The sequence below is a fragment of the Homo sapiens genome, chromosome 19 (genome assembly GCF_000001405.40).
Source record: "Homo sapiens chromosome 19, GRCh38.p14 Primary Assembly".
Taxonomy (NCBI): domain Eukaryota; kingdom Metazoa; phylum Chordata; class Mammalia; order Primates; family Hominidae; genus Homo; species Homo sapiens.
Window position 1 is genome coordinate 52,208,363 of NC_000019.10, and position 14,972 is coordinate 52,223,334.

Below are 14,972 nucleotides of genomic sequence, written 5' to 3' on the forward strand. Positions count from 1 at the left end.
TTCACTTTGTTGGTCAGATTAGTCTCGGAATCCTGACCTCAGGTGATCCACCCACCCCGGCCTCCCAAAGTGCTAGGATTACAGGTGTGAGCCACCGTGCCTGGGTGTGAGGGTTGTTTCTGTGTCAGCAGCTCTTTTTATTTTTATTTTTCTTTGAGACAGAGTCTCGCTCTGTCACCCAGGCTGGAGTGCAGTGTTGTAATCTCAGCTCACTGCAGCCTCTGCCTCCCGGGTTCAAGTGATTCTCAAGCCTCAGCCTCCCAAGTAGCTGGGATTACAGGCACCCATCACCATGCCTGGCTAATTTTTGTATTTTTTGTAGAGACAGGGTTTCACCATGTTGGCCAGGCTGGTCTAGAACTCCTGGCCTCAAATGATCACCTGCCTTGGCCTCCCAAAGTTCTGGGATTACAGGCGTGAGCCACCGCATCCGGCCAGCAGTTCCTAACTCTTTTGGAATTATGGATCCCTTTGAGAATCTGTTAAATTCTGGACCCTCTTCTTATAAAAGTACACAGGATTTTAGGCGGTTCACACTCTTCCCTACCCTGTGTGGTCTCCAGGTTTGAGAACCCTTGCCCCCAGACTTCACAGAGAGGCTTCACAGTAGTGAGTCTTCACTGTGCAAAGGCATCAATTGCAGTTTCTTAAATGTGTACCTTCCTGGGCCCTGCCTCCAGATATTCTGATTGTTTTGGTCCATGCTGGGATAGGCCTCCGGGTGATTCTGCTGCAGGGTGGTCAGGGATCATCCTTTGAGAACTACTTCCTGCAGTAACCTACAGGAGAAGAGAACCTTGGCTTACATAATTACTGCTCAGCCTCTGTCCCAGGCCTCCTTATAACAGATTGCCGTAAGTTCCACCGGTAGTCACTTGGCAAGTGTTGATTGAGTACCTTCTCTGTGCCAGCCCAGGTGGTGGGAGAACTGAGGTGAACAAGAGGAACTCTGTCCCTGCAGTATCCCAGTCACACCGCACCTATGGTCACACTCCCATGATACTGTCCTGAACTTGAGACGTCACGATAGCATGAGGACCTGTGACAGTGACATTATGCTGGCTTGCTTAGTATTACATTTTTCCTTTGAATCATTCATTGCAACTATTTTTAAATGCTATTTTTAAACATTTGTTTTTATTCTTAGTTTTACTGTAAAAATATACATAGAATGTGCTATTTTAATTATTTTAAAGTGTGTAGCTCTGTGGCGGTAGGTTTATTCACATTGTGCAGCCATTATCACCCTCCATCTCCAGAATTTTTCACCTCCTCAAACTGAAATTCCAAACCCATTGGACATGAGCTCCCCCTTCCCTCTCCCCCAGCCCCTGGCAGCCACCGTAGGAGTTTGACTGTTCTAGATTCCTCATATAAGTGGAATCAGAAAATATTTGTCTTTATGACTATTAGCTAATTTCCCTTGGCATAACATCTTCAAGGTTCATCCATGTTGTAGCATGTGTTACATGAGACTTCTCACATACAAGATTCTTGAGTTTTTTTGAGGGCTGCATTTGGAAAACCAGATTTGCTTATTGCCAGCTGCATTCTCCCATAGTGACAGTCCTTGGAGCTGGGGAGCACCTGCCCTCCCTGGGCTACATGCCCTCCAGGGTGCCACAGTGCCTGCCTCTTCCTATTCATGCCTCCTGCCACCCCTGCCTGTCACCTTGGCTGATGGCATCATTCTGTTACTTGACTGAGCCCTGGAGGCATTTCCATTTATGATTTTTTTTTTCCTGCTTTAAATACCTGTCAGCCCAAGTTGAATTTCAGATCAGAGACCTCCACACCTTTATTTGAACATATTGGGATAAGTTGAGTCTCCCTTCAGTAGGTCACTAATTAAGAGTTCCTGTCTTGTGCTAAGAGTGCTGCTGGGCTCTGGGGATACAGTGGAGAGCCAGTCGTATGTATCTGAAGGAGCACAGTCATTCTAGGCCCACAGTAACAACCAGCGAGCAGTCCCGAGCCCCATAGTCCCCCAGAAACATGAGATCCCAATTCAGTCACCAGAGCTGTGTGTAACTGTTCATGGGAAGCTTAGGTCAGGTTTTCGATCCTGACCTGTAGCTATTACTAGCTTGGGCAAGCCAGGCTGTACCTCAGTTTTCTCTTCTTTTTTTTTTTTTTTTTTTTCTTTTTGAGACGGAGTCTCGCTGTGTTGCCCAGGCTGGAGTGCAGTGGTGCGATCTCGGCTTACTGCAGCCTCTGCCTCCCGGGTTCAAGGATTCTTCTGCCTCAGCCTCCCGAGTAGCTGGGATTACAGGTGCGCACCACCACACCCAGCTAATTTTTTTGTATTTTTAGTAGAAACGGGGTTTCACCATATTGGCCAGGCTGGTCTTGAACTCCTGACCTCGTGATCCACCCGCTTCAGCCTCCCATAGTGCTGGGATTACAGGCGTGAGCCACTGCGCCCGGCCCGTTTTCTCTTCTTTAAAATCAGGACTTGCTTTATAGAATTCAGTGAGGAAGAACAAGCACCCCTGGTACAACACGGAGGTCCTGCCTAGTACACACAGTGAGTAGATGTTCTACACAGTGTCAGTGATGATCATTGCACTTTGAGAGGCTAAGAACTTTCTCCTCAGAAAGCAACGTGTGTAATTTTAAGGTTTATGGACCCCAGTGAAACTCCTTCAAGGACCCCTAAATAAGAACCTTTGTGGAAGGCACGCTGACAGAGACCTTCTGCTGGCTGGCATAATATTACGTTTTTCCTTTGAGTCATTCATTGCAACCATTTTTAAAGGCTATTTTAATGAAGGTCGGGATGGGTAATAGGGAAGTTTTCTCTGAGGAGATGAGCCCATGATGGGGTGCAGGATGGGGCTCCAGGGCTGCGGATGGTGGAGAGGGAGCTGTCCAGTGACTTTGTGTTCTCACCACAGCCACCGCTGGAGTCGCTGGCCACAGTGGAGGAGACAGTGGTGCGGGACAAGGCAGTGGAGTCCTTACGGGCCATCTCACACGAGCACTCGCCCTCTGACCTGGAGGCGCACTTTGTGCCGCTAGTGAAGCGGCTGGCGGGCGGCGACTGGTTCACCTCCCGCACCTCGGCCTGCGGCCTCTTCTCCGTCTGCTACCCCCGAGTGTCCAGTGCTGTGAAGGCGGAACTTCGACAGTGAGTCTCTGCCTCCTTGGAAGCTCCAAGCTCCCATCTCAGCTCCAACCTTCTCTAAAGCCTCAGACTCCTTTTGGTCTAGCTGGGGCCCAAATGCCCCTGAACTCTCTCCACTCCCACTCCTGCTTACCACCTGATAGGCCACATCCTCGAGAGTTGGTCTCTGGACACGGCCACGTGTCAGTTTACCCACCTCTGCCCCCTTGCTCACTTAGGAATTGAGATGATGACAGGTCCTCCTTCCCACTGGTTAATGTGAGGATTTAAAAGAATTATCACACATAAAGTGCTTAGAGCAAAATCTGGAACATAAAAACTTTCAGCAACTTACATCTGATGGTATCTCCAGCCTGTCCCAGGTCCAGTGCCTTTGGCAGATAAACCACCTCAGTTTTCAGCCTCCTGCTCGTCTACTTTGCAAACGATTGACCGTCAAGCCCGGGTTTGAGCCTGACTCACTCCAGAACTCTGGTTTATGGCTGTACACTTGCTTAGATACTTACACTGGCCCCCACCGCCTTTGATCGAAGCAATTGCTGCTGAAAAATAAAGCCTTTCTGTGGCTCTAGACCTGCCTCTTAGTTAAGCAGTTTTTTGTTTGTTTGTTTTTTGAGATAGGATCTCGCTCTGTCATCCAGGCTGAAGTGCACTGGTGCAGTCATAGCCCACTGCAGCCTCAACCTCCTGGGCTCAAGCATTCCTCCTGCCTTAGCCTCTCAAATAGCTGGGACCACAGGTGTGCAACACCACGCTGGGCTCATTTTTTATTTTTGGCAGAGATGGGGTCTCACTATGTTGCTCAGGCTGGTCTTGAACTCCTGGGCTCAAGCAATCCTCCTGCCTTGGTCTTCCAAAGTGTTCAGATTACAGGTATGAGCCACTGTGCCTGGCTCGTTGGTTAAGCAATTTTTATGGGAATGATGTAATCGTCAGCACTTAGCATTGACTAGATTTATTATGCGCAATCTGCGAAGTGTCTCACACACACTATTTTCATTTAAACCTCATGCGGACCTGTGGGGTAGGTACTGTTACTATCAGCTCCGTTTCATAGGGCTGGGAAGACAGAGAGGGGGTCATCACTTGCCCAAGGTCATTCAGCTAAAACCTGGACCCACACAACTGCAGAGTCTGTGCTTGCTCCTCTCTGCCATACTGCCTGCTGCCTCAGGATCCCCGTCCCCGACTCCCAGGTACTTCCGGAACCTGTGCTCAGATGACACCCCCATGGTGCGGCGGGCCGCAGCCTCCAAGCTGGGGGAGTTTGCCAAGGTGCTGGAGCTGGACAACGTCAAGAGTGAGATCATCCCCATGTTCTCCAACCTGGCCTCTGACGAGCAGGTGAGTTTTGCTTCCTGGCCCTCTGCTCTCCCGTCCTTCTGGTGGTTCCTGCCCATGAAAGAGAATCCCAGAGCTCAGCAAGGCCTCTGCTGCCCTCCCACTGTTCCTCTCCTCTCCCTAGGACTCGGTGCGGCTGCTGGCGGTGGAGGCGTGCGTGAACATCGCCCAGCTTCTGCCCCAGGAGGATCTGGAGGCCCTGGTGATGCCCACTCTGCGCCAGGCCGCTGAAGACAAGTCCTGGCGCGTCCGCTACATGGTGGCTGACAAGTTCACAGAGGTAGATGAGCGACCGTTGACATTGTCCCACTGGTGGGGACACTGACACTCTCAGAAGGGAAGCATATAGGAGCTGAGGTTTCCATTAGGCCGATGGAACCATTGGGCGTTTGAGCAATAAGATCTCTATGATCATCTAACTGCGTCTCGCTTCGTGTGCCAATCCTGGTTGATTGACATGGCATCTTAAAGTGCTGCCTTGAGAAAGATTCTGAGGCAAAGTTAAGGCTACGTGGAGGAAAGTGCCACAGGAGCAGAGAAGGGTAGCACATGTGGGGTGTTCCTGACATAATCAAGCTGTCCTTTCACAAAGGGGAAGACAGCCCAAAAAGGTGGGGTTTTTTGGTGTTTTTTTTTTTTTTTTTTTTTTTTTTTTTTAAGATGGAGTCTGTCGCCCAGGCTAGAGTCTTGTTACCCAGCTGGAGTGTGGTGGCGCAATCTTGGCTCACTGCAGCCTGTCCCTCCCGGGTGCAGGCATTTCTCCTGCCTCAGCCTCCTGAGGGACTGGGATTACAGATGCCCACCACGACACCCGGCTAGTTTTTGTATTTTTATTAGAGACGGGGTTTCACCATGTTGTTAGCCAGGCTAGTCTCGAACTCCTGACCTCAAGCGATCCGCCTGCCTTCATCTCCCAAAGTGCTGGGATTACAGGTGTTAGCCACCGCGCCCAGCCCCGGAAAGTTTAATTAACTGATCAGAGTGACACTACCAGCCAGGCAGAAAGGGGACAAGACTCCAGGTCTGTGACTCTCAGGACAGTGCTCCTTCCACAGGGATCCAGATTGCCTCATCCCACAAACATGTTTGCTGAGCACCAGCTATTTGCTGGGCCAGTGAATTCGGATCATTCCTGGCCTTCATGGAGCTAGGCAGTCTGAAGGGGAAGACTGACTTAGGGGAAATTTGATTATAAAGTGTCACAGGTGTGGGACAGACAGACAGATGTGGGGCCTTGGAAGCATTGAGGAGGGGAGGTGGTGTTACAGCTGGTTCTAGAAGATGAGTGGGTAAGAGCTAAGATAGGAACTTTGTTCCAGCCAGAGGACAAAGAACCCTGGGAGGTGAGAGCAAGTGCAAGCAGGAACATTCAGGCCTGATCTTGATGGCCCAGCCTGAGAGAAAGCAGGAGAGAGGGCAGGGTGGGATCGGAGAGAGGGCAGGGTGGGATCAGAGAGGCCTTGAGTGCCACTCCACCCTGAGGCGCCCTTTGCCTTTAATTATGCTGGTTCCCACTGGCATTTGCGGGAAGGACTCAGAGCTTCAGAATAGCGTACCATCACCACAGTTAGGGAAGGTTCTTCCCATCCTTGTCTCCTGAGCTGCATAAACTGTGTCACACTGGGTCTTAGAATAAAAATTCCATGAGGGCAGGAATTTTAGGCTGTTAAACCAGTTCTTGGCACATAGTAGACATTCAGTAAATATTTGCAAGATGAATAAAAGGCAGTATTTTCCCAAGATATCATGAGGTCCTTCAAGATTTTTACTTGTTCATTCCCGTCTTCATAATGAACTGTCCTGCTTCCTACCAGGTCTTCAGGAACCAGCTTTGCAGCAGGAGCCGTGCGTCTTTCCATGCCTGGTGCCATGAAACAGGCAGGGCCAAGCGTGCCTCCCTTTTTTTTTTTTTTTAAGACAGAGTCTCAGTCTTTTGCCCAGGCTGGAGTACGGTGGCACAAGCTCAGCTGACTGCAACCTCCACCTCCCAGACTCAAGTGATTCTCGTGCCTTAGCCTCCTGAGTAGCTGGAATTACAGGTGTGCACCACCACACCCAGCTAATTTTGTATTTTTAGTAGAGATGGGGTTTCACCATGTTGGCCAGGCTGGTCTCGAATTCCTGGCCTCAAGTGATCCACCCACCTCTGTCTCCCAAAGCGCTGGGATTACAGGTGTAAGCCACTACGCCCAGCCCTAGAGTGCCTTCCTTTCTGTCAATCTTTATTGTTTTATTTTTATTTTGAGACAGGGTCTCACACCATCACCCAGGCTGGAGTGCAGTGGCACAGTCACGGCTCACTGCAGCCTTGACCTCCTGGGCTCAGGTGATCCTCCCACTTCAGCCTTCTGAGTAGCTAGGACGATAGGTGCCTGCCCCCACACCCGGCTAATTGTTTTGTTTTTTTTGTAGAGTCAGGGTTTCACTGTGTTGCCCGGGCTGGTCTTGTTCTCTGGGACTCAAGCGATCTGTCCACCTCAGCTTCCCAAAGTGCTGGGATTATAGGCATGAGCCATCGCACTTGGCCTATTGTTTTATTTTCATTACAAAAGTAATTCGTGCTTCTGGTAACAGATCTTTAAGAAATACAGCCATATATAAATCAAAAAGTTGCAGTCACTATATCATTTGAATGTTTTTGAATCAGGTAACAGAAAACTTAACCTCAGTAGCCTGAATAATATGGAAATGTGTTATTTTTAATGCTGACAACACCGTGAGGTAGGTGCCCTCGCAGTCCTCATTTTTCTTTGGAAGCAAAAGAGGCTCAGCGAGGTGAAGAGCCTTGCCCCGGGGCCAGTCTTGGCACTCGAATTAGATTTTAGCACTGCTTCCAAGGCCCACGCTCTGTCCCCTAATTCTGGTGCCTTCACTTTGATTTTGGCTTCCTTAGCCCAGAGTAAACTGCCAGCCCCTCTCACTCTCCCCCTCCTCCTTCCTGTCTGCAGCTCCAGAAAGCAGTGGGGCCTGAGATCACCAAGACAGACCTGGTCCCTGCCTTCCAGAACCTGATGAAAGACTGTGAGGCCGAGGTGAGGGCCGCAGCCTCCCACAAGGTCAAAGGTTGGTGCTGGCAGCCGGAACACAGCAAGTGGGGTGGGTATCCAAGGGGCTGGAGGTGGAACTAGCACATCAGGTCTCACTTCCCTTTGCCTCCCTCTCCCTGCCCACAGAGTTCTGTGAAAACCTCTCAGCTGACTGTCGGGAGAATGTGATCATGTCCCAGATCTTGCCCTGCATCAAGGTAACAGAGAGTTTGATGGGAGGAACCAAGTGGATCCGAGCCTGCCAAAAAGAGGGGCTGGAGACAAGGCTTTGGGGATAGTCAGCTGCAAACTAGGTTCCCAGCCCTCTGGGACCAGGCAGCTCTTGGGTTTCAAGCAGTTAGGGGTCCTGACTGCAGCTTGAGGCTGACCTTAAAGGTGGAAGTACTTTCTAGAACCTCAGATGTCACTGAGTCCTGTCATTCACAGGGTTTTGGGGTTGGAGTGGGGGCTGCTGAGAGCAGGGGTCATTGAACTCTTAAGTAGGTGGTACTCATAAGGAATAGTGATTTCCCCTGTACCCTAAGCCATCCCCTGCTCTATGAATGAGAGGGGCAGAAGCAGGTTATTGTCTCTTAGGAGTTGGCATCTGCTTAGCCACTTGCTGCTGCAGGGGTTGCACTGACCCCTGTGCCTGCCTCTTCTCTCTCCCAGGAGCTGGTGTCCGATGCCAACCAACATGTCAAGTCTGCCCTGGCCTCAGTCATCATGGGTCTCTCTCCCATCTTGGGCAAAGACAACACCATCGAGCACCTCTTGCCCCTCTTCCTGGCTCAGCTGAAGGATGAGGTAAGGGCACCAGGATCTCAGCTCTGGGTTTGTGGAGGGGACAGGCGGGTCTTCCTAGATTGCTAGGGTTTACCTAGATTGACCAGGAATCTGCTGATATCTCAACAGACATCCAGATCTTTGCTGAGTTGCATGTTTGTGGGCATAGCTGTGTGTTCATGCGTTCATTCCTCCAGGCACTCTTCATGAGGCCTTTCCTGGACATGGAGGATATGAAAAATAGAAATTTAAAGTTTTTATTTATGGCCAGGCGCGGTGGCTCACGCCTGTAATCCCAGCACTTTGGGAGGCTGAGGCGGGTGGATCACCTGAGGTCAGGAGTTCGAGACCAGCCTGGCCAACATGATGAAACCTCGTGTCTGCTAAAAATGCAAAAATTAGCCAGGCATGGTGGCGAGTGCCTGTAATCTCAGCTACTCGGGCAGCTAAGGCAGGAGTATCACTTGAACTCAGGAGGCAGAGGTTGCAATGAGCCAAGATTGCACCACTGCACTCCAGCCTGGACAACAGAGCAAGACTCTGTCTCAAAAAAAAAATTATTTATTTATGTTTTGAGATAGGGTCTTGCTCTATTGCCCACACTGCAGTGCAGTGATGTGATCATGGTCTACTGCAGCCTCCACCTTCCAGGCTCAAGTGATCCTCCCACCTTAGCCTCCCAAGTAGCTGGGACTACAGGCAAGAGCCACCACATCTAGATAATTTTAAAAAACATTTTCCATAGAGACAAGATATTATGTTGCCCAGGTTGGTCTTGAACTCCTGATCTCAAGCAGTCCTTTTGCCTTGGCCTCCAAAGGCCTGGGATTATAGGCGTGAGCCGCTGCCCCCAGCCTAGAATAAGAGTTTTGATCCCCAAAAGCCTTCAGAGACTGGCAGTGGAGAGAGACAGGCAGTCCCATGATGCCATTAAGGTGTTACAGGTGCTGTTAAGGATGAGTTCATGTTTTTTAGGGTTTAGGCTAAGGTGCTCTAATATAGACCCCAGAATACATTCTGGCTTAAATTCGGTGGTGGATTTTTTTTCTCTCTCTCATAACAGTCTAGGACGAGATTCCTCACATGTGCTTGCACCCCATACACCCATTGGCCAGGAGGGTCACGTGACCACACCCAGCAGTTCAGGTTGCCTGTATTACAAAGGATGAGAGGCGGTGCTGGGTGATGACTGGAGAGATCATCAGGGTGACCACTGGGGAAGGAGTTTGGACTTGACTGTGGGCAAGCGGAAGAGCCAGAATAGAGTTGGTGTTAGAAGGCACCCTGAGGCTTATGTGAAGGAAGGATTGAAGTGAGGTGGCCAGCAGCAGTGTAGGCAGACCAAACCGGAGGCTGTGGGAGTCTGGAAGGCTGAGGCTAGACTAAGTGGTATGTAGAGATGAGGCTGCATTGATACGGAAGGATTCAAGATTGTTCAGGAGGCAGAAGGGACCACGTGGTGGTTTTTGCCTTGGTGGTGAAAAACTGGGCAGATGGTGCAATTGTGTGCTGGTGTGTGACATCTTTCCCAAAAGATGGGAAGTGTGTGAGGCTTCCCAAAAGCCTCAGTCTTTCTTCCCCATCCCCTTCTTTCTTTTTTATACACAGGCGCCCACACAGTCTGCTAGAAAGTTGGAGGAAATACTGTAACAGAAAGTACTGCATCACATTTCAGTCCTCCATGCCCCTAAAAGTTACGTTATTCAATTCTGTTACAGTGGAGTAATCTCTTAGCCCCAGAATTACAGTGAATTTTTTAATACATTGAAAAGAGTGCGCTATTTTTAATATTTTTTTGTTCTTTTTGTTTTTCCCTATTAGTGGGTGATTAACTGTACTGGTTTTAATCAGTTAATTACGTCAGTTGCTAAAAGTCTGAATCTTCATTAGTGTTCATGACAAATTTTATGACTTAAGTAATTTATCTGAGTTATGCTTCACATGCACATAGTTTTTATAATTTTATAGATATTAATACAATTTATATTTGTTTTTGATGCTTTAATGGGCATAATTTGGCAGGTGAGAGCCCCTCAAGTTGTCTGCTATGTCATTTCACACCTCTCCAGCGTTTTGGGGATCATTTTGCCTCTGGCATGAGGGAAGGATCCAGGCTCAGCCCAGTTTGAAGGCAAGCCCATACGTGCTGCAAGTGCGCTAGGACTGGAGCATTTTTTGCTCCAGTTTCACCTTCAGCAAGCGCTATATGGTAATCGTGTGCTGGCAGCCAGCCTGTCTCAGGGCAGCTTCTCTTAGAAGAAAAGAACCAGCATGGTTTTCTTGGTGTGAGGAATTCATCTGACTTATATTTGAGATTTCCATTTTAGATTTATAAACTTTATATTTTACATTTTGACTCTCACCAGAATTTATAAACTTGTCTAAATGAAAAAGGCTACCTTTTTACTGGTGCACCAAAAATAAGTCTTTTTAAATGGGTGAGGTATAGTCTCTGAGCCTTCTCTTCTCATGCACATGTTCAGCAGCTTGAGGCTCACACAGCAAGGGCTGGAGCTGGGCAAGGGCCAGTCCTATCCTCGGAATGTGCAGGGTTTCAACAGCCCAAGCCTGCCAGGCTTGTTCACTTGGTTATTGATTCATTTCAGTGCTCCTTTATTTATTTATTTTTTTAGACTAAAATAGTTTTAATAAGGAAATAGTTTTCTTCCTTCCCTTCTCCCATGTTGTGGATTGATACCCAGAAAGGAACCCTTGTTAGCAAGCAGCGGAGCTAGGATTAGAAGAATCATGTCTGCCTGTTTTTTCCAGGGTGCTGTATTTTCCTACTGTGATTCTTAAAGTCTTTTCAAAATGGATAAACATTTCTTGTGATACTATTGTAAGGTTTAAAAATCTGCTTAAGTTAGTGATCCATGCTGCTTGCTTTTTGTGTGCCGTTAATGTGTTCCCAGAACGGGGAGCTGGGCTTGGACAGGAGTAGTCCCTCGGGAGATGTCCATAAAAGTTGATGCAGCTGAGCTCTTTCCATCCTGTCCTGGGTTGCTGTGTGCATTGCATTCTCTCAGAATCCTTCTTTCCTCTCCTCAGTGCCCTGAGGTACGGCTGAACATCATCTCTAACCTGGACTGTGTGAACGAGGTGATTGGCATCCGGCAGCTGTCCCAGTCCCTGCTCCCTGCCATTGTGGAGCTGGCTGAGGACGCCAAGTGGCGGGTGCGGCTGGCCATCATTGAGTACATGCCCCTCCTGGCTGGACAGCTGGTGAGTGAGGAGGCCTGGGGGCCAGGCAGTGCTGCCTCAGGGGAGGTGCAGTATGTCCAGGGCTGTGATGGGGAAACGGGGCTTTGAAGGCTTAGTGGAGGCTGTGACAACTGCCTGGGGAGTCGAAGGAAGGGACCCAGGAAATAGGGCCTTAAAAGATGCATTGGATTCAATAAGAGAGAGGAGGGAAAGGAGCACCTCAGACAAAGTTGAGAAGTGTCCGGTCTTTCTAGGGTGGGTGTAGGTTCCATGGGATGTGGCTAGCAGCTCCCCCTGTTTGCTCTCCTGGAACGCTTACCTTGGAACCCTTGGTTTCTCCTGTAGGGAGTGGAGTTCTTTGATGAGAAACTTAACTCCTTGTGCATGGCCTGGCTTGTGGATCATGGTGAGTACCTTCACAGGAGCAGCAAGAGGAGATGGGAGCTCCAGAAAGGCAGGATGGATTGGCTGGGGCTGTGGCGGGCAGTGGAGGAGGCTAGAGTCACTCCCCACGCCGCTGGATGCTCGTATGGACCAGCTCGCATGCTTGTTAGAGTCCTAGAGAAGTGTTGAGTGGGAGGAGGACGAAACAGATCACCCAGGGGTTGCCTGGTATAGTGGAGAGCCAGAGGGCCACTGAGCAGCCAGACCAGGGTTTTGAATCCTGCCCTTGGGGCTGTCAGATCTAAAACAAGTCACCTGCTGTCTTTGAATGAGCCCCACACTCATTCTTTGAAACTTCTTATTCTGGTGCCTTGGGGCCATTATGAGAATGGCTCATTGTTTACACTAAGAGAGGTAAAAAATAAAAGGTAATATTTATCTCTGTGAAGCCCTGTTTGAAGTAATAAGTGCCACATAATTTAGGCAAATCACTTCTTAGAGCCTTAGTTTGCCCATCTGTAAAATGAAGCCAGTAGTGGAACCTACCTCTTGGAGTGGTTGAAAAGATACTGTATAAAAAAAAACAGTTACTAGATATAGCACATAGTAAGTCCTTTTTTCTCTCTTTGGCTCACATGCAGCCTGGCACCTAGGGGCTGCTTTGTAAGCCATGGTGAGTGTGACCTACATTTTGCCCACATCAGTTCTTCACCTCCAAATCCCTGTCTCTCTCACCCTCACCCTTCTGCAGTATATGCCATCCGCGAGGCAGCCACCAGCAACCTGAAGAAGCTAGTGGAAAAGTTTGGGAAGGAGTGGGCCCATGCCACAATCATCCCCAAGGTCTTGGCCATGTCCGGAGACCCCAACTACCTGCACCGCATGACTACGCTCTTCTGCATCAATGTGAGCCTTCCACCTGCCTGCTGGCCCATCCCTAGGGAACTGGAGCGCGTGGGAGAGGAGGGATGCTAGAGGGTTCCCCAAGGGAGACACCTGGCTTGGGAATGGAGACATGGAGTGCATCTTCTATCCAGAGATGAGTCCTTGGGGAACTGCAGGCAAGGGGGTGGGGCTCCCAGGGTCAGGGTCATAGGGCCTCTGGGACTGGGGACTTGGATGGTGAGGGACCCAGGGCCTGGGAGACTTGACCTGTTGGAGCAGCGATCTCAAGCTTTATGAGCACCCCTCTCCTTCCCTGAGAAATGTGTGTCTCTATCTGTGGTGCGTTGGGTGAGTGTATGGGCTCTAGGTCAGACCTAGTTTTAAATTCTGGTACTGCCATATATTAGCTATGGACCTTGGATAGTTACCTAACCGATGCTTTGGTCTTCTCATTTGTAAATAATTCATACTGTAAAGAATTCATACTGGTAATCACAGCCTGGTGAGCGTGAAGATTAATCAGGTTATACACGCACAGGGCTTAGAACAGTTATGCTACAGGTAGGAAGTGCTCCTGTCTATTTGCTTTTCCTACGATTATAATTATCTCATGTACTACTTATTTATGTGTAAACCATACACAGGGCTAGAAAGGAAGGGATTTAAAAATAAATATAACTAAGTGTTCTGATCATTTCTTCCCACGCCACTCTCTGGAGAGCATTGCTTTAAGGAGGGATCCTAGGGCTTGGTAATTAAGGTCGATCTCCAGAATAATTAAGGGAAGCCTGAGGACAGAGAAACTGGGACATGGTGTTAGGATGGTGTTAGTGGAGTTGGGAGATTCACTCCACTAACTGAGTCACCCGTATTGCTCAGCCTCTGTGGGGCCTGATGATCACCAGAGTGGCCTGGTCAGAGGCAGCAGGAAATGAGAGTTAGCCAGGAGCTTTGCATACTCACCCCTGCCACTCACTGGCCCCCAGGTGCTGTCTGAGGTCTGTGGGCAGGACATCACCACCAAGCACATGCTACCCACGGTTCTGCGCATGGCTGGGGACCCGGTTGCCAATGTCCGCTTCAATGTGGCCAAGTCTCTGCAGAAGATAGGGCCCATCCTGGACAACAGGTGAGGTCTGGATACTCCCCCACACACTGGCAGGGGCTTCTTGTGGGCACCTTAATCTTTGACCTTTGAAGGTAGAGCCCAGGGTCAGAGGCCTGGCAGCGCTCCTTGCTTGCTGTGTGACCTTGGCTCCCTTCCCTTCTCAAGGTGTGTTTTCTCAACTGTAAAATGAACATCACAGCATGAAATAGAAAGAGGGGGTGATGGGTTGGCAGTCCTGTATACTAGCAACAAGTCATTAGAAAATGAAATCACCTTATGTTTTATATGTAAGTATGTGTATAATTTATAATTGCACCAAAAATATCAAATAGCCAGGAATAAATTCAATGAAAGATGTGTATGTAACACCTCTAATGTAAACTGTAAAACACTAATGTGAGAAATTAAAGCAGACCTGACCAAGGTGGGCGGATCAGTTGAGGTCAGGAGTTCACGACCAGCCTGGCCAACATGGCGAAACCCCGTCTCTAGTAAAAATACAAAAAATTAGCCGGTGCGGTAGCACTCACCTGTAATCCTAGCTATTTGGGAGGCTGAAGGCAAGAGAATTGCTTGAATCCAGGAGGTGGAGGTTGCAGTGAGCTGAGATCATGCCACTGCACTCCAGCCTGGGCGATAGAGCGAGACTGTCTCAAAAAAAATTAAAGCAGACCTACATAATATTCACGGATGGGACAGTTCCCTGAACTCATCTTTAGATTCAGTATAAGCCCAATAATCTTAACAGGTTCTTTAGTGGAAAATTGACACTTCTAATGAACAAAGTTGTCTGATTTACACTACCAGAGACGAAGACTTATGACACCACAATAATTAAAATAGATGTGAACACAAGCATATTTAAATCGCCCAATAGAATGGAATCAAGGGTACAGAAACAGTCCCACATGTGTTTAACAGTAGGCATCTCTGCAGTTCAGTGGAGAAATGTATGTTTTTTAAAAAACATAGCTGAGTCAATTTGATATCCATTTAGGAATAAAAGAAGGCTCGCCTCAATGCATAAACAAATTAATTTGAGATGACAGACCAGAACCAGAAAGATTTTAAAAATAAAGGACCTAGAAGAAAATGTAGGAAAATATCTTCTTGA

General features: G+C 48.7%; 1 protein-coding gene and 1 non-coding gene across 4 annotated transcripts in view, besides 1 other annotated feature; both read left to right on the forward strand.

The window, feature by feature from the left end:
- PPP2R1A (protein phosphatase 2 scaffold subunit Aalpha) overlaps window positions 1–14,972 on the forward strand; it is a 39,467-nt gene that overhangs the window by 18,311 nt on the left and 6,184 nt on the right. For all 3 annotated transcript variants that reach the window (NR_033500.2, NM_014225.6, NM_001363656.2), the window contains 10 exons: window positions 2,898–3,130; window positions 4,324–4,471; window positions 4,593–4,748; window positions 7,417–7,531; window positions 7,642–7,712; window positions 8,167–8,301; window positions 11,329–11,502; window positions 11,827–11,887; window positions 12,617–12,771; window positions 13,737–13,879. Coding sequence is in view for 2 of the 3 variants with exons in the window: in NM_014225.6 (NP_055040.2) it covers window positions 2,898–3,130; window positions 4,324–4,471; window positions 4,593–4,748; window positions 7,417–7,531; window positions 7,642–7,712; window positions 8,167–8,301; window positions 11,329–11,502; window positions 11,827–11,887; window positions 12,617–12,771; window positions 13,737–13,879 (1,391 nt within the window). In the remaining variant the exon portion in view is untranslated. The remainder of the gene's footprint in view (window positions 1–2,897; window positions 3,131–4,323; window positions 4,472–4,592; window positions 4,749–7,416; window positions 7,532–7,641; window positions 7,713–8,166; window positions 8,302–11,328; window positions 11,503–11,826; window positions 11,888–12,616; window positions 12,772–13,736; window positions 13,880–14,972) is intronic.
- Window positions 13,198–14,397: an enhancer, noted in NCBI's record as "BRD4-independent group 4 enhancer chr19:52724813-52726012 (GRCh37/hg19 assembly coordinates)". NCBI's record gives its function as "activates an origin of replication core promoter dependent on BRD2, P300/CBP, MED14 and CDK7 cofactors, and independent of BRD4, by STARR-seq in HCT116 cells {active_cell/tissue: HCT116}" and the evidence as "EXISTENCE:reporter gene assay evidence [ECO:0000049][PMID:35650434]".
- Window positions 13,658–13,736, forward strand: MIR6801 (microRNA 6801). The gene has a single exon (NR_106859.1). It is a non-coding gene; the product is annotated as a microRNA 6801 (primary transcript).